General features: G+C 38.8%; 1 long non-coding RNA gene across 2 annotated transcripts in view; it reads left to right on the top strand.

Annotated features, from left to right (window-relative positions):
- The first annotated feature begins 2999 nt into the window (after positions 1–2999).
- Positions 3000–18797, top strand: part of LINC01818 (long intergenic non-protein coding RNA 1818) — a 186703-nt gene continuing 170905 nt past the window's right edge. For both annotated transcript variants that reach the window (NR_187171.1, NR_187172.1), the window contains exon 1: positions 3000–3150. This is a non-coding gene — a long non-coding RNA (long intergenic non-protein coding RNA 1818). The remainder of the gene's footprint in view (positions 3151–18797) is intronic.

Consider the following 18797-nt stretch of genomic DNA (forward strand, 5'->3'; position numbering starts at 1 on the left):
ACCTCTGTCTGACCTCCCAAGGGAAAAAGCCAAAGTAGTCAGCACCTCCAGCCAGTGGAAGCAACATCGGTGACAATTGGCGCAGGAACTCCCGGGCTTTCTGAAGGAGCAAAGAAATGACACAGCAGTATTTCTAGACAGGGTGAAATGATGATCATACTGCAGAGGCTCCTTTATTCTCAGTCTCTTCTCCATTACCTGTCACATTTCCCTAACTGGTAAATATCAGTTAGACTTATGGAGATTTGTTATGAACCCAGTTATTCTGTTGCTCTTAAATGGGATGAGTATTTACAATCTGTAACATGTGATATATGAAGATGCAAGGCCTGTTAATTTTAATTGGGTTCCCGAGTAGGTCAAAGAATGCTGAGCTGCTCTTGCGGTTTTGTGGGCTTGTTTCAGCAGAGGAACTAGCAGCAATCACCATGAACACCCTTCTTATAAAAATGATAAATAAATACGGAATGAGACTTTGGGGCCAAATTGGCATTGGTATCATTTAATTTCTTTGTGTGTTTCCAGCCAATTAAATGAATGGGTGCCTGTGGTAATTGAACTCACTTTGATAATTAGGCCTTAAGGATTCTTAAATTACTGAATGTTAATGAATATTTCCCAAGTATGGTCCCTGTATCCTAAGTGCTGCCAAATGGAATTTGCCTCTTTATCATTAAAATGTAGTTCTTTTAAAAATTCCACATAGGAAATAGAAACTAGAAACAGAGGCCGAGGCGGGCGGATCACAAGGTCAGGAGATCGAGACCATTCTGGCTAATGTGGTGAAACCCCGTCTCTACTAAAAATATAAAAAATTAACTAGGCATGGTGGCGAGCGCCTGTAGTCCCAGGTACTCAGGAGGCTGAGGCAGGAGAGTGGTGTGAAGCTGGGAGACGGAGCTTGCAGTGAGCCGAGACCGCACCACTGCACTCTAGCCTGGGTGAAAGAGCAAGACTCCGTCTCAAAAAAAAAAAAAAAAAAGGAAAAAAAAAGAAACTGAGGACTTAGTTCTGTTGCTTCTCTTTACAGGTTTGAGCAGGTTGATGAAATTTAAATCTAAGAAAAATTTTACTATGAAAGAGACATAGTTGAATTTACCCCTTGGAACTTGGAAGGCCATATATAACAGTATGCAAATTAAAGCCATATGCAAGGAGGAAACTGCTGCTTCACCAAAGCTACCTACAAATGCTGTTCAGCTGACAAATGCCCACTATATTTACCAATAATTTGAGGGTACGGATGGGGAAAGGTCTGGGCTATCGTGGAGGTGTACTCTCCAGGCAGAAATGTACAATGGGCCTGCTCTGGTGATTCCACCAGGAGATGAGTCATACCAAGCATTCTTATCTGAAAGCTGTGGTTTCCATTTTTCTTGGTATTATTTTACAAACCTTTATTATTTGTCCCTCAGGCTTACAGTGCAAATCAGTAAACTGAAACACACTTAGATCAAATACTTACTGCAAACACTGAGTAATGAGGGAAACATTTCTAGGGCATGCTTTATTTGTGCTTATTTATTTCATATATTTCAAACATTCAAACATTTCAAATATTCAAATATTTTCTTAAAAATCTATAACAAAGCTCTTACATAATCTTCCTTAGAAGGGGAAGGTGTAGGGGGGCAGAAAATTAGCTTCTCTTAAACATCTTTGCTACGGTCTGAATGCCCTTCAAATTCATATGCTGAAAATCTAAACACCAATGAGATAGTCTAAGATGGGGCCTGTAGATGGTGATTATATCATAAGCCCTCATGAATGGGATTAGTGGTCTTATAACAGAGGCCCCAGAGAGCTACCTTGCCCCTTTTCTGCTATGTGAGATTACAGTCAGAAGTGGGCCCTCCCCAAATATCAAATCTGCTGGCACCTTGATCTTGAACTTCCCAGTTTCCAGAACAGTGAGAAATACATTTCTGTTGCTTACAAGCCCTAAAGTTTATGGTATTTTGTTATAGTAGCCAAAAGGAACTAAGAAAATTATTTAGGTCTCAGACCCTGTACTGAATCCACACATATGATTTCATCACTAAAAAGTCATGAGATTTTGAGGGGTGGAAACTGCATTTCTGCTAAACAAAACCATGTGGGACATTAGGGATAATTCAATATATTCTACACTAAACCAATCTATTATTTAAATCAACAAATTCACACTCATTCACTGAGGTCAAACGAGCCCTGCCATTTCAACACCATTTTAAGTGAACCTCCAAAGCCTTGATCATATCTCTGCATAAAACATGGATAATAATCCTGCCAAGAAGAGATGTTGTAAGAACCAAGCTTCATAACATGAAAAAAGCCACAGCAGAGCTCCTGGTATTTGATAAATGCTACTTGCTCTCTTTCCTTTTTCCCTTCTTGACAGAGTAAGGAATGTCCACCTTTGTTGCATGCTCAAATTTGGTCCTAAATAAATTTTAATTGCACCATCTGATGTAAATAACATTAAATGTATGAGTCATTAGTATTCAAATCACAAAGATTTGAATAAGGTTTTGAGTGTTTTTATAAGGTTCTCCTGCCCTTCCCCATATGGAGATATTTTTGTTCCAGCCATTTTATCTATATTCCTCCCCTTCAAAGCTTGCATAACATTTGTGATTACTTCCCATTGGTCAGAAATTAGTTATTTGGCCTCACTTAGATACAAGAAAGCCTAGTGTGTTAATCAGGGTTCTCCAGAGGGACAGAACAAATATCTATTGGTTATATATATATATGAGAAAGGGAGTTTATTAGGGAGAATTGAATTGGCTCACACAATCACAAAAGTGAAGTCCCATGAGAGGCTGTCTGCAAGCTGGAGAATGAGAGAAGCCAGTAGCATGGCTAGCTTGGCAGCCAGGGAAGCCTTTGGTAGCATTACTCACTCCAAGTCTAAAAGTTTCCAAACCAGGAAAGCAAACAGTACAACCCTCACTCTGAGGCCAAAGGCCTGAGAGTTCCCAGAAGGCCACTGGTGCAAGTCCCAGAGTACAAAGGCTAAAGAACCTGGAATTTGATGTCCTAGGGCAGGAGAAGAAAAGGGGTACTGCTCTGGAAAAGAGAGAGAAAGAGAGAAAAAAAAGGAAGCAAGAAAAAGAAAAAAAGAAAAGCAAGCAAGCTGAATGTCTTCCTTCTTCCACCTCCTTTGTTGTAAGTATTCCTGCAGCCCATTAGATGGTACCCACCCACATTGAGGGCAGGTCTTCCTCTCTCAGTCCACCGACTATCCTGTCAATCTCCTCTGGCAACACCTTCACAGATACACTCAGAATTAATGCTTCGCTGCCACTGAGCCATCCCTCAATCCAGTCAAGTTGACACCTAATACTAACCATCATACCTGGAAAGTACAGTTTTTATATAGGAGGCCATGTGTCAGCTAAAAGTCAGATTCTATTACTGATAAAGAAGAATCTATTGAGTGTCAAGCGCTACTCATTGCCACAAGAGGTATTACAAATTTCAAAAGACATAAAGGTAGCTTGAGTTTTAGATATATTTTGAAGGTAGAGGCAAATAAATTTATTGATTAATTGAATATAGAGTATGAGAAGAATCAAGGATGTCTCAAAGGGTTTGGGGTATAAGCAATGAAATGAGAGTTGCCTTTGAAAGAGCTGGAGAAGACAGATGGGGAGTAGATTTTTAGGAGGGCTAAACCAGGGTTCCTTTTGTGGTTTAGTGTTTGAGATATCAGTTACACATAAAAGGAGAGATGCACAAAGACAGATGATCTATAAGTCTAGAGAGTTCAGAGAGAAGGTCTGGATTGGAAAATTGATGTGGGAATCATTAAGGAACAGAAGAAAAGAGTTTCAAGTTCAGAGTGTGGGAAGCCCTAATATTTACAGATCTAAACAAAGGAAAAAACCAGCAGGAAACACTAAGAAGCTGCAACCAGTATTGTGTCCAGAATTGGTGGGTTCTTGGTCTCACTGACTTCAAGAACAAAGCCACGGACCCTCGCAGTGAGCATTACAGTTCTTAAAGGCAGTCTGTCTGGACAGCCTTCCTTCTGATGTTCAGATGTGTTCAGAGTTTTTTCCTTCTGGTGGGTTCGTGGTCTCACTGGCTTCAGAAGTGAAGCTACAAACTTCACAGTGAGTGTTACAGCTCATAAAGGCAGTGTGGACCCAACGAGTGAGCAACAGTAATATTTATTACAAAAAGCAAAACAACAAAAGTTCCACAACGTGGAAGGAAAACCCAGTAGGTTGCCACTGCTGGCTCAGGCAGCCAGCTTTTATTCTCTTATCTGGCCCCACCCACATCCTGCTGATTGGTCCATTTTACAGAGAGCCGATTGGTCTGTTTCACAGAGAGCTGATTGGTCCATTTTGACAGGGTGCTGATTGGTGCATTTACAATCCCTGAGCTAGACACAAAAGTTCTCCACCTCCCCGCTAGATTAGCTAGATACAGAGTGTCCATTGGTGTATTTACAACCCCTGAGCTAGAGACAGAGTGCTGATTGGTGTATTTACAATCCCTTAGCTATACATAAAGATTCTCCAAGTCCCCACCAGACTTAGGAGCCTATCTGGCTTCTCCCAGTGGATCCCGAACTGGGGCCGCAGGTGGAGCTGCCTGCCAGTCCCGCGCAGTGCGCCCGCACTCTTCAGCCTTTGGCGGTCGATGGGACTGGGCGCTGTGGAGCTGGGAGCAGTGCTCTCGTCGGGGAGGCTCGGCCAGGCAGGAGCCCATGGCGGAGGTGGGGCGGGGGAGGCTCAGGCACGGCGGGCTGCAGGTCCCAAGCCCTGCCCCGTGGGGAGGCAGCCCAGGTGCTAAGCCCCTCACTGCCCGGGGCTTCCGGGCCGGCCGGCCGCTCAGAGTGCGGGGCCTGCCGAGCCCACGCCCACCCGGAACTCGCGCTGGCCCGCAAGCGCCGCGTGCAGCCACGGTTCCCGACAGCGCCTCTCCCTCCACACCTCCCCGCAAGCTGAGGGAGCCGGCTCCAGCCTTGACCAGCCCAGAAAAGGGCTCCCACAGTGCAGCGGCGGGCTGAAGGGCTCCTCAGGCGCCGCCAGAATGGGCGCCGAGGCTGAGGCACCGAGAGCGAGCGTGGGCTGCGAGGGCTGCCAGTATGCTGTCACCTCTCAGTATGATAGAAAAAAGTGAGTATGGCGAACTGGTGGTTAAAGAGAGGAAGAGCACTCGTGGAGGTCGTAGCTCCAGATATCAGGACAAAGCCCAGCTTGAGACTAAGGCTTAATCAGAGCGTTAGGGAACCCTTTCTTCCCCCACTGCCACCCTAACACACTCAGTAAAAATAGCCATGAAATTCAACCGGAAGAGCTGCAAGAGATAGATCATTATTGGGGGGCAGTACAAAGACAGATTAAAAGCCAATGAAATAACAGACATTGAGGAAATAATCTCTGTTAAATACACAGTATCACAAGAGGAATTTTAAGCCTGAGGGGCACTTGGGGTAATATAACATCAACAAACCCCCAAACTTAGCCCAACTCCTGAATAGATGAATATGAGCCCACAGTTAAGGTCCAGCTGAAGAAAAGGCATGCTCATCTCCAACGTTAAGAAGAGATTTATCTCTGTATCTGTAGCCCTACACAAGATGTCTAATTGTCAACTAAAAATTGCAAGGCATGTAAAAAGACAAATACACACACATACCCCCCCACACACTGAAGACGCAAGGTAATCCTTGGGAGCAGGCTGCATATGACACCACGGATATTGGGACTATCAGACAGAGAATTTAAAATAACTATGATTAATAGGCTATTAGCTTTAATGGAACAAAGTAGACAACATGTAAGATCAGATTAATTCAGCAGAGAGTGTAAAATCTAAGAAGGAATCAAAAGGAGAAGCTGGAAGACACAAATAGTAACAGCTATAAAGCCAGGCTCATCAGTAGAGCCCACACAGCTGAGGAAAGAATCAGTGAACTGCATGATAGGCCAGTGAAAATTATTCAAACTGGAATATAGAGAAAAGAGTGAATAAAGAACACAGCATCCAATAGTGTGGGACAATTCTAAACTGAGTAACATATGTGTAATTGAAATCTCAAAAAGAGAAGAAGGAGAAAATGGGGCAGAAGCAATATTTGAAAAAAAATGGCATAAAATTTTACAATATTAACAGACATAAAACCACAGATTTAAGAAGCTCACAGAATGCCAAGTAGGATAAATACCACACATGCACACACATACACACACACACACACGCACATATCTAGGTATATGGTATTTAAACTTTTGAAAACAAAAGTGAGAAAACGGTGAAGTTAGGAGAAAAATATATGTACTATCTACAGAGGAACAAGGCTAAAAATTAAAATATATTTCTATCAGAAACTATCCAGAACGAAAGAAAATGTACTGACATATTGAAAGTGCTGGGGATCTGAAAGTGTGTGTGCATCAGGGGGTGTCAACCCAGAATTCTATATTTAGTAAAAAGAAGTGAAAGGAAAACCAAAAATCATATCAAACAAAAATTGAAGCAATTAATTGCTAGACATATTCTGTAAGAACTGCTAAAAAAATTCTTCAGGCAGAGGAACTATGATATCAGTCAGAAACTTGAATCTGCACAAAGAAATGAAGAGAACAGGTACTGGAACAAATGACAGAAAAAAATTAATTTATTTCTTGCTTGAGATTGCTCTAAAAGATAACCGATATATAAAAGTGAAATAAATGACAACAATAGCACAAAGGATGGGTGAGGGAAATGGGACTATTCTGTTGTAAATACGTTTACGCCACATGCGAAGCAGTATAATGTTATTAAAATGTCAACTCAGTTTAATTTAACATGTATACTGTAAGCCCCAGGATAATCATTTAAAAGTTTTTAAAAAGAGGTTTAACTAGTAAGTCAATAAAGGAGAGAAAATGAAATCATGAAAATGCCCAGTTAACCCAAGAAAAAGCCAATAGGGAAGAATAAAGAAACAAAGAAAAATGTAACAAAGAGAAACAGCTAGCAAGATGTTAAATTTTAATCCAACCATATCGATAATCACTTTAAATGTAAATGGTCTACATGTACCAGTTTAAAGACAGATTGTCAGACTGAATAAAAAGCGGGACACAAATATGTGCTGCCTACAAAAATAAACATTTTAGGCTGGGTGCGGTGACTCATGCCTGTAATCCCAGCACTTTGGGAGGCCAAAGCAAGTGGATCACCTGAGTTCAGGAGTTCGAGACCAGCCTGGCCAACATGGTGAAACCCTGTCTCTACTAAAAAAAAAAAAAAAAAAGAAGTCAGACATGGTGGTGCACACCTATAGGCCCCGCTACTGGGGCAACAGTAGCTACTGAGGTTGAGGCAAGAGAATAGCTTGAACCTGGGAGGTGGAGGTTCCAGTGAGCCGAGATCGCGCCATTGCACTCCAGCCTGGGCGACAGAGCAAGACTCAGTCTCAAAAAAACAAAAAACAAAACAAAAACAACAAAAAAAACCATTTTAAACATAAAAACATAATGCGTGTCTTTAAATATTTAAATAGAAATAATATAAAATATGTAAAATGCATTTTATGTTTTAAGAAGTATTAAAATTTAAAATATTAATAAAGTGAGTCATTAACTTCCGTAGGTGCTGACTCTGTGTCATACACATGTGCATTTTACATTATCACAGCATCTTCTAAAGCATTCATGTTTTACTTTAGAGATTAGAAAACTGTGGCTTAAAAAGTTAAATAATATTTCCAGTGTTTTTTTAGCTAGAAATAGCACAGACAGGATTAAAACCCAGGCTGTCTGATTAGAAATCCTACACAATGATTCACTATTTGGAACTGCCACTAAGTATAGCTTTTGGTTATGAGTTTAATAATGCCTATGAGTCTATTGATTAAGAATGATTTCACAGTATTTTCTGGTTCTTCCCAGTGCACGCCTTGAGTAATTATGAAAACAGGTCTGTTTTATTATAGAAAAAGTGAAGGGTGATAGCATGACCTCAATTTGAAATAGTTACAGTTTTACATGCCAATATTTTATAGGTCTATAATAGCATATTTATAACTTTTTAACTATCCAATTTTACTTGGCCCCAGTGATCTTAACTTCTCATGCTCTCAAATTTTCTAGACACTAACTACATTATAATATTTATCTTACTCTTTGCATAATACTCTTTTGTTTAGAAAGTAAATATTGGCTAGAACACCACATACCTTTGCAATATCCAAGTTTCTATAAACTTAGCATAGGTATCAATTTTTTAAACACCTTATCTATTACTTGTATATGTTTTGAGTCCATTAAGCTACATAAAAAAATTTATGTAAAGATAAAGCCAGGAACTGGAAGTAATTTTTTGGGAAGCATTGACTATCGCCAAGAAATGTTTATATAAGAAAATAAAAGCCAAAAGATTAATAGGATGTTTTTACTTAAATGTTAAAGTTGTAAATTTTTTACTATAGAGTTTTACTTTAGGTATGATTGACTCAATAGCCAGCATAGAACAAAATCTTGTATTCTTTACTTAATAGTCACAAGGGTATATTTGGAATGAAAAACTTCACACTCATTTTTAGCTACAGATGGTTGTTGTAAAGAATACTAAAAATGGCCATAAAGCAATTGGCCAATAAACACACTAAAAACAATAAAGTGTATCTGGAACAAACTGGCTTTATAATAGCACATACCACCCATTGTAATCACCAATATCAGTTTCAGCAATAAACAAATGATATGAACTAGGACAGCTGTTAAATATTAATCAGTAATGCTAGGCTGTAACTAGAAGTGAGAAAATAAAACTTGGAAAAAATGTATTATCTGACTGACAGTGGGGCATGTCCTTGTATAGCTGACTAAGGATCACTCTCTGCTCTAGAATTTTTCTAACTTTTCAAGTCAATCTTCTGGTTTTTCTGATTGATTCTGGTGTCCGGTTGGTAAAATATATATTTGCTTGTGCTCTTTGGCCCCTAAAGCTATCACCATGCTCCATTTCATCCATTAGAGGGAATAACAAATTGGAACAAAAGAGCAATAGATATCACCCTGATTTTTCTCAGCTCAGGATAACTGATGAGCTGAGCTCTTTCTTCTCATTGCCCCAGACATGAACAAATCCCACGTCTACTTGTCTTTGTTTTCAAACTAGTATATGTGATTCCCACCAAAATCATTTTTTTCTATTGATAGTTAAATAAAATCCCTTTATTTAACATTATACTATACTATACTATACTTACTATATCTGATACTTACTATATTTTAATACTTTATGCTTAACATTGTAATAATATATGTGTGTGTGTATATGTGTGTGTGTGTGTGTATATATATATATATATATATATATTTTTTTTTTTTTTTTTTTTTTTTTTTTCTTGAGACAGAGTCTTGCTCTGTTGCCCAGGCCGGAGTGCAATGGCATGATCTTGGCTCACTGCAACCTCCACCTCCTGGGTTCAAGCAATTCTCTTGCCTCAGCCTCCCAAGTAGCTGGGATTACAGGTGCACACCACCACGCCCAACTAATTTTTTTGTAATTTTAGTAGAGGTGGGATTTCACCATGTTGTCCAGGCTGGTCTCAAACTCCTGACCTCGTGATCTGCCTGCCTCAGCCTCCCAAAGCGCTGGGATTACAGGCATGAGCCACCGTGCCTGGCCTATTATATTTCTTGAACACTTATCTGTTAGATACTAAAAAATCATTTTAGAGATATTTCTTAATTTAATGTTTACAACAGTTCTCTCAAGTAGGTTTTATATTGTCACCATTTTATGGGTGAAAAGAGTAAGAAATAGAAAAGTTAAACACCCCCCTCAAGAGTACCCAGCTAGTATGTGGTGAGCTTGCATTTAAATCCCCATGTAAGAGAGTGGCTCTCTCAATGAGGGCAAGGACTCTGTTCACTGTATCTCCACATTTCATAAGACTCGGCACATAGTGTTTATCAAGCATTAAGTGAATTATTTTAGGAATTTTAAATATTAGATCACTTAATAGAATTAACATAATTTCTCATGACTAGTTGTTTCCCCTTTGTTCTCTAGGAACATCTGAAACTTGTTTATTCATTCAATAATATTTATTTGGCCTTAATGTCTTCTATTTAGCATTGCAGTAAGAGCTGGGGAAAGCATGATGAACTCAGTGCACACTGTCAAAATGCTTACAGTCTTGAAGTCATTACTTTTGTGTTCAATGTGCCACAGGACCCTTAAGGAAGGATGATGGGGAGTCAGGAAAAGCTTCATAGGGAGAAGGATATTTGATACAAGACTTGGAACCCATTAACCAATTGGAACTGATGTATCCAAGGGGAGCAGTGCAATTAAACACACTGAATGTGATTAGCCAAGGAATCATTTTGCATGACTGTAACCTCAGGCATGAGTAAGGAGAGGACTTTAAGAGAGACCGGCTGTCAGGATTCAAGTCATAGACAAGCTTGTTGACTACAAAAAGGCACAGGTTTAAGACTTTAGCAATGGCAAGCTGATTGAAAACGTTTAAACACAGAGATATGTCATGATTGGATTTGCTGTTATAATTTTAAGACAATTAATAGCTTATTCAATAGTAGTTCAGATGAGGTATTATAGGTACCTAAGCCCTAAGGAAGAGTTAGTGAAGATGAGAAGAGAGTTAGAATTATTAGCACTTAGACTTGACACAATATGATGGGGAAAAGGATAAATTAAAAATATTGGTATTAGCATCTGGTGTGGGAAGCCTTGTCATTAAATAAGATGAGAAATTAACAGAGAAGGAAAAGATTGCCTATATAATTATGAGATAGTGACATTTTAGTCAATAATGGGGATAGAATATATGATGGTGGCCCCAGAGGATTATAATGTAGGTGAAAAATTTTTATCACCTAGCAATGTCATAGCCATCATAATATCATAGTGCGATGCATCACTCATGCATTTGTGATGATGTTGATGTAAACAAACTTACTGTGCTGCCAGTCTCATCATATAAAAGCATAGCACAATTATGTACAATACATAACACTTGATAATGATAATAAATGACTATGTTACTGGCTTATGTATTTGCTATACTATTGTTTTTAATGTTGTTTTAAAGTGAATACTTTCTACTTATATTTTAAAAAATTAACTGTAAAACAACCTCAGGCAGATCTTTGAGGAAGTATTCCAGAAGAAGGTATTGTTAGCATAGGACATGACAGCTCCGTGTATGCTATTGTCCCTGAAGACCTCTGAGTGGGACAGGATGTGGAAGTGGAAGACAGTGATATTGATGATCCTGACGCTGTGTAGGCCCAGGCCAATGTGAATGTTTGGGTCTTTGTGTTTAACAAAAGAGTTTTAAAATTTAAAAATAACTGAAATTTTAAAAATAGTAAAAAAGCTTGTAGAGTAAGGACATAAACAAAAAAATTTTTGTATAGCTGTAAATGTGTTTGTGTTTTAACCTATAAAAAGTTAAAAAAAACTTTAAAAGTTTATAAAGTAAAAAAGTTACAGTAAGTTAATGTTCATTTTTTATTGAAAAAAATTATAAATTTATTGCAGCCTAAGTGTACAGTGCTTATAAAACCTACAGTAGTGTATAGTAATATTCTAAGCCTTCACATTCACTCACCACTCACCCAGAGGCTCACCCAGAGCAATTTTCATCTGCAAATTCCATTCATGGTAAGTGTCCTATAGACATATATCATTTTTTATTTTTTATGCCATATTTTTACTGTACCACTTTTATGTTTAGGTACATTTACATATACAAATACCATTGTGTTATAGTTGCCTATGGTATTTAGTACAGTAATGTGCTGTATAGGTTTGTAGTCTAGGAGCAATCGGCTATGCCATACAGCCTAGGTGTATAGTAGGCTGTACCATCTAGTTTTGCATAAGTATACTCCATGATGTTCACACAATGGCAAAATCACTTAATGACACATCTCTCAGAATGTATCCCTATAATTAAGCGATGCAGAACTGTATTTAGTTTTAGGATATATGACATGTTTATATCCTAGCGGATATAGGGTGTCTAGTACACATAATAATAATAATAATTCAGTTTATTGAAGAAAGTGAGAAGAGCATGAAAGATAATAATGTGGAACCACCAGTATATAAGGAGTGTTCAAAAGCTAAAGTATGGGTGAATAAAACTAAGAAGGAGCAAGCAAAGAGGCAGAAAGGGATTCAGGAAGTTATGCAATGGTGGAAGCCAAAGACTATAGAGTTTGAAGGAAGAAAATGCCAGCAGTGTGCAATCCACAAGAAAGATCATGTAAGATTAAGCACTTAAATGAAACTGGATTTTACAATCAGGAGATTATTGATGACCTCAAAGAAGGCAAACTTGGACAGGAATTCATGGTGGATGTTTGCTCACAGTTAACTGAAGTGTAAATAGAAGATGAAGTAGAGATATCAAGTACTGATTACTTTTTTTGAGGAGTTTGCTGTTAACAGAAATAGCAAACTGACACTATCTGGAGGAAATGCAAATGTGAGGAACATTTTTCTTTGTTTACCTAATTATCTTGTCTCTATTTTCGATTGTGAGAAAGTCAGAAAGGTTACTGAGTGCAGGCACATTTCCTATAGAAAATTGAGCAGGGAGGCTGAAATAAGTTATTGCAGTTTGAAGAGCAAATGGAAATGTGGAAGAGAAGGCAGGCGGAAGCTGACTGCAGCTAGAGAAGCATGTGGTGAATGCATTTTCTAGGTTTTGAACACGAGGTTCAAAATGCTTAGTGACAGGGTATATTGTTGCCTTTTTTTTTTAGGTGAGTCATAATTGAGATAGCAAAACTTTTCCCAACTTATCTCCTTGAACTAGTCTGAAGCAAGTTGTACAGTTAAATTCTCTTTTTTTCTTATTTATTTATTTATTTATTTATTATTATTATACTTTAAGTTTTAGGGTACATGTGCACAATGTGCAGGTTAGTTACATATGTATACATGTGATGTGCTGGTGCACTGCACCCACTAACTCGTCATCTAGCATTACGTATATCCCCAGTGCTATCCCTCCCCACTCCCCACACCCCACAACAGTCCCCAGAGTGTGATGTTCCCCTTCCTGTGTCCATGTGTTCTCATTGTTCAGTTCCCAGCTGTGAGTGAGAATATGCGGTGTTTGGTTTTTTGTTCTTGCGATAGTTTACTGAGAATGATGATTTCCAGCTTCATCCATGTCCCTACAAAGGACGTGAACTCATCATTTTTTATGGCTGCATAGTATTGCATGGTGTATATGTGCCACATTTTCTTAATCCAGTCTATCATTGTTGGACATTTCGGTTGGTTCCAAGTCTTTGCTATTGTGAATAATGCCACAATAAACATACGTGTGCATGTGTCTTTATAGCAGCATGATTTATAGTCCTTTGGGTATATACCCAGTAGTGGGATGGCTGGGTCAAATGGTATTTCTAGTTCCAGATACCTGAGGAATTGCCACACTGACTTCCACAATGGTTGAACTAGTTTACAGTCCCACCAGCAGTGTAAAAGTGTTCCTATTTCTCCACATCCTCTCCAGCACCTGTTGTTTCCTGACTTTTTAATGATTGCCATTCTAACTGGTGTGTAATGGTATCTCATTGTGGTTTTGATTTGCATTTCTCTGATGGCCAGTGATGGTGAGCATTTTTTCATGTGTTTTTTGGCTGCATAAATGTCTCCTTTTGAGAAGTGTCTGTTTATGTCCTTTGCCCACTTTTTGATGGGGTTGTTTGTTTTTTTCTTGTAAATTTGTTTGAGTTCATTGTAGATTCTGGATATTAGCCCTTTGTCAGATGAGTAGGTTGCGAAAATTTTCTCCCATTTTGTAGGTTGCCTGTTCACTCTGATGGTAGTTCTTTTGCTGTGCAGAAGCTCTTTAGTTTAATTAGATCCCATTTGTCAATTTTGGCTTTTGTTGCCATTGCTTTTGGTGTTTTAGACATGAAGTCCTTGCCCATGCCTATGTCCTGAATGGTAATGCCTAGGTTTTCTTCTAGGGTTTTTATGGTTTTAGGTCTAATGTTTAAGTCTTTAATCCATCTTGAATTGATTTTTGTATAAGGTGTAAGGAAGGGATCCAGTTTCAGCTTTCTACATATGGCTAGCCAGTTTTCCCAGCACCATTTATTAAATAGGGAATCCTTTCCCCATTGCTTGTTTTTCTCAGGTTTGTCAAAGATCAGATAGTTGTAGATAGGCGGTGTTATTTCTGAGGGCTCTGTTCTGTTCCATTGATCTATATCTCTGTTTTGGTACCAGTACCATGCTGTTTTGGTTACTGTAGGCTTGTAGTATAGTTTGAAGTCAGGTAGTGTGATGCCTCCAGCTTTGTTCTTTTGGCTTAGGATTGACTTGGTGATGCGGGCTCTTTTTTGGTTCCATATGAACTTTAAAGTAGTTTTTTCCAATTCTGTGAGAAAGTTATTGGTAGCTTGATGGGGATGGCATTGAATCTGTAAATTACCTTGGGCAGTATGGCCATTTTCACGATATTGATTCTTCCTACCCATGAGCATGGAAGGTTCTTTCATTTGTTTGTATCCTCTTTTATTTCCTTGAGCAGTGGTTTGTAGTTCTCCTTGAAGAGGTCCTTCACATCCCTTGTAAGTTGGATTCCTAGGTATTTTATTCTCTTTGAAGCAATTGTGAATGGGAGTTCACTCATGATTTGGCTCTCTGTTTGTCTGTTGTTGGTGTGTAAGAATGCTTGTGATTTTTGTACACTGATTTTGTTAAATTCTCTTTAAGAAAATCTGATTGTACCGCTTGATCACCTGTGTGCTTGTAGTCCTTGCTTAAAACCCATTCAAGTGAAATAGTTCTCTGTAAGGCTGCCCTGCTTACCCTTGGTGGTAAATAGTCCTGAAATATGGCCACTAAGAGTTCCTTTTCTTCTTGAGAGCATGCCAAACCATCCATTAAGAGATGGTCTACTTACCCTGCTTTGCATATGGCTGCACTTGTGACTTGCTTATCAAGAAGTTCTGTCTGTCTCCAGTGATCCAATTTTAAAAAGCAACTTCTCATTTACATTCCATTTTGTGGTAATTTTTAGCTCCTTGAAATTTGTGGCTTTTGTTGGGATTGCGGAAATGTCTTTTACCATGCTCCTCTGGTGCTACTTTAGCTTTATTCCTGTGTAGGAAGGTTGTTTCCTGTGCACTCTGCTTGGGAAGAGCTGATGGTTCATGTTCAGATGCCACTTGATGGTCACCCAAGACTTAGAGAGATTTGTCAGTAAATAAGGTATTCAGATATTGTTTCTATAGGTCAGGGGTGGATTTCTAGTGCCAAAACTTCAACGGCACCTTCACATACATTCCCATACACACCATTTGAACTTTTTGTTTAGTCTAACCCAGATTGCTTATGAGTAATTTTCAGTTTATAACAGACAGTGGGAGAAGTTGCTGGGCTTGATATCTTTTGAAAATATTGGTTTATTTAAAACAAAAAAAATCCACTAAAGTTATTTGCAGATTTCAATTATGTACGAAAATGAAAAAGAACAATATTTAATTTCTTAATGCAAACCAATTTTCAGCCTTAAAGCCTTAAGAGAGCTGCGGAATAGATCTAATGTCATTGTGACGTAGAAGGTCTTAATATGAGCAATCTCCCAATTAAATTAGGTGCCTACATAAAATAACACACTTGGCTTTAGAGTAAAATTTAAATTTCTTTGCAATTCCATATTAATTTTTATTATCCTTTCTCCTCTAATTTTATTTTATTTTATTTATTTATTTGAGACGGAGTCGGGCTCTGTCACCCAGGCTGGAGTGCAGTGGTGCTATCTCGGCTCACTGCAACCTCCGCCTCCTGGGTTCAAGTGATTCTCCAGCTTCAGCCTCCCTAGTTGTTGGGATTATAGGCGCGTGCCACAATACCCAGCTATTTTTTGTTTTTGTTTTTTTTTAGTAGAGATGGGGTTTTGCCTGACCTCTGGTGATCCTCCCGCCTGAGCCTCCCAGAGTGCTGAGATTATAGGTGTGAGCCACCGTGCTGGCCTCCTGTAATTTTGCCTGACCTCTGGTGATCCACCTGTCTGGGCCTCCCAGTGTGCTGGGATTACAGGCATGAGCCACTGCGCCCAGCCTTCTCTAATTTTAGATAATTAAAATTTTATTATAATTGCACTTAATAAAAGATGTTTAACATGTTCTGGGTTTAGTTCAAAGATTTCTCATCAAGGCTTGGTTTTTCCTGTTTACACTTTTTTTCCACTCATGTCTGGCTTATCTTCTGAATCAGGAAATAAATGCCATCTCTTACCAGGGACACGGCAAAAATAGAATGATTGATATCACTTGGCACCTACTACACTGAATGCCTGAAGTGGAAGACTGGAGATCAAAGGCAGACCCGGAATGGCTGATAATTTGTATATTGAGTTCATAACCAGACAGCCATTGTTCTGATGCAAATGGATAGACTGTGTGTGCATGGAAACTTAAGTACAGTAGAAAACAATCTGCACGAGGATTAAACATTTTATATATTCCCATTGTGATTTCTGAATATCACAGTGCCTTCATAAGAAATGTATCTCTAAGCATGTACTTCTATCACAAGCACTCTGATTTGCACATCTGGTTCTGCAGATAAAATTATGCGCTATAGATAATGGGCAGATGTATAATGTTTCGATGATATGAGCACATATGCCTTATGTCTCTATTAAATCTATCAGATACATGTTATATACTCTATAGAGAGAAGGAGAATACAAATGGGTGTTTTTATTGCCAATTTCAGTAAAACTGGCATTTTCCTTCAAATTATGTAAGTCATTTCAGTAGAATCACATAGACCAAGATATGATAAACAATAGCTGCTACTAAGTTTCAATAAACTCGCTAGAAAAATCTCATAAAAAGAGATACTAAGCAAAAGGGACAAAATTAACAGGTTTGGAGCAGTGGTTCAGACAATTCATACTTGATTTAAAACAATTTTGAGGCCAGGCACGGTGGCTCAAGCCTGTAATCCCAGCACTTTGGGAGGCCGAGGTGGGCGGATCACGAGGTCAGGAGATCGAGACCATCCTGGCTAACTTGGTGAAACCCCATCTCTACTAAACATACAGAAAATTAGCCGGGCATGGTAGAAGGCACCTGTAGTCCCAGCTACTTGGGAGGCTGAGGCAGGAGAATGGCATGAACCCGGGAGGCGGAGCTTGCAGTGAGCCCAGATCGTGCCACTGCACTTCAGCCTTGGCGACAGAGCGAGACTGAAAAATTTTTGATTGGTTTTTCAAGAATATCAATCAATTTAGACCTCAAGGCATTTTTAAACAATATTATAAACCACTGCATTATAATTTAAAGCAAGGTCAGGTGGAAGGAGTGGGAAAGACAGGTTGATAGCATGCATAGAGAGGGCTATGTGTGTGTGTGTCTGTGTGTGTGTGTGTGTACACGCATGCACAAGTCAGAAAGTTATTCTTTGGCGTTTTTGAGTGTTCATTTGTTAAGGTAAAGAAGACTTGGTGGAGGCATTAATAACTTTCAGGACTTTGTTGAAAACTTGCCCTGAAGGACAGAGCTGTATTGGAAGATGAATACTTAACGACTGTACTCTAGCTTGTCAAGCAGCCGCAGAAGAAAAGAGAAACAATGCGAGAATGTTGATCTGCATGTATATTCTACAGAGTAAGCAGATGATCGATTATTTGTTGATGCTATTTGAACAGGAAAAATATTCTAGAACCAAGGGGCTGTATAAAAACATATTTCAAGAACAACTCCAGGCATTTTTCCTGTCAGTCATGTTATCACTATCCATTGGGTTATCTGATATTTTATCATTAAGAGTATTTTTCTTAGAAATTCTATTTGGAATACTCCTATATATGGCTTCTCTTTCAACAGCAAACTCCAGTTCTTCTTTCTCCTCCCCACCCCCATCTCTCCAACACACACACACACACACACACACACACACACACACACCCCCCTACCTGTCCTGAAAGTTACCCTTGCTTTACATAGCTAAAGCTAAGCAGCATGGGGACAATGGAATTCGGGTCCTAAATAAGGACCTAACAACTTAAAGCTCTGTCTAATTTTTAAACTTTAAGAATCATAGAAGGGTAAAATTTTTCTTGATTTAAGTCCTTTTCCAAATTTTCTAACCAGAAACGATCTCCAAAATGATCTATTCTAACCTTTCCCCCAAAATTTTTTCTTTTAAAAATAAGACATTTTGTAGACATGCAAAAGCCTCCCAGCCAAGAATCAAAACCCCAAAGCTGTAGATGGCAGAATTCTTTAATTCTTATTTTTAAAAGAATAAGAATGTTTAAAAATAAGAATTATAATTTTTCTTGTTTTATACATAAGAAAACTGAGGCTCCAAATAGCAAAGTGACTTGCCTGGTAAACACTTAACAAAAATTTAACAATGACCTTTTCTGGATTAAAACCTTCTTGTAGTTTATTATCCCCAACAGTATAAAGCATTAAGCACTTTGACGAGGCTCTTCCTTTACTTCCTGTGCCCTCGTCACCCCATTCCCCTCCATTATTGTCAATCAACTTGGAACTGCTACGACATCTCCACAGGCCTTGCTTAATGCCGTCTGTCCCTGGAGCACCCATCCACCTCCCCCTCCTCTGCCTGACTCTAACCCAGTGTTCAAAATGTGAAATAAACCATTGGACAGTCATAAAACTGTCTCTACTTCCCTCAGTTTGGCGTACAGGCTTATCTGTGACCCCATAAGACTGTGATTATCTTGATCACAGTTCTTAGGCTTTTGAAATTATCTGTTAATTGTTTCTGTCCCATTAATCTCTGCATACTTTAAAGACAGAGATTGCGTCTTGTGA

This window comes from Homo sapiens, chromosome 2 (genome assembly GCF_000001405.40).
Source record: "Homo sapiens chromosome 2, GRCh38.p14 Primary Assembly".
NCBI classification, from domain to species: domain Eukaryota; kingdom Metazoa; phylum Chordata; class Mammalia; order Primates; family Hominidae; genus Homo; species Homo sapiens.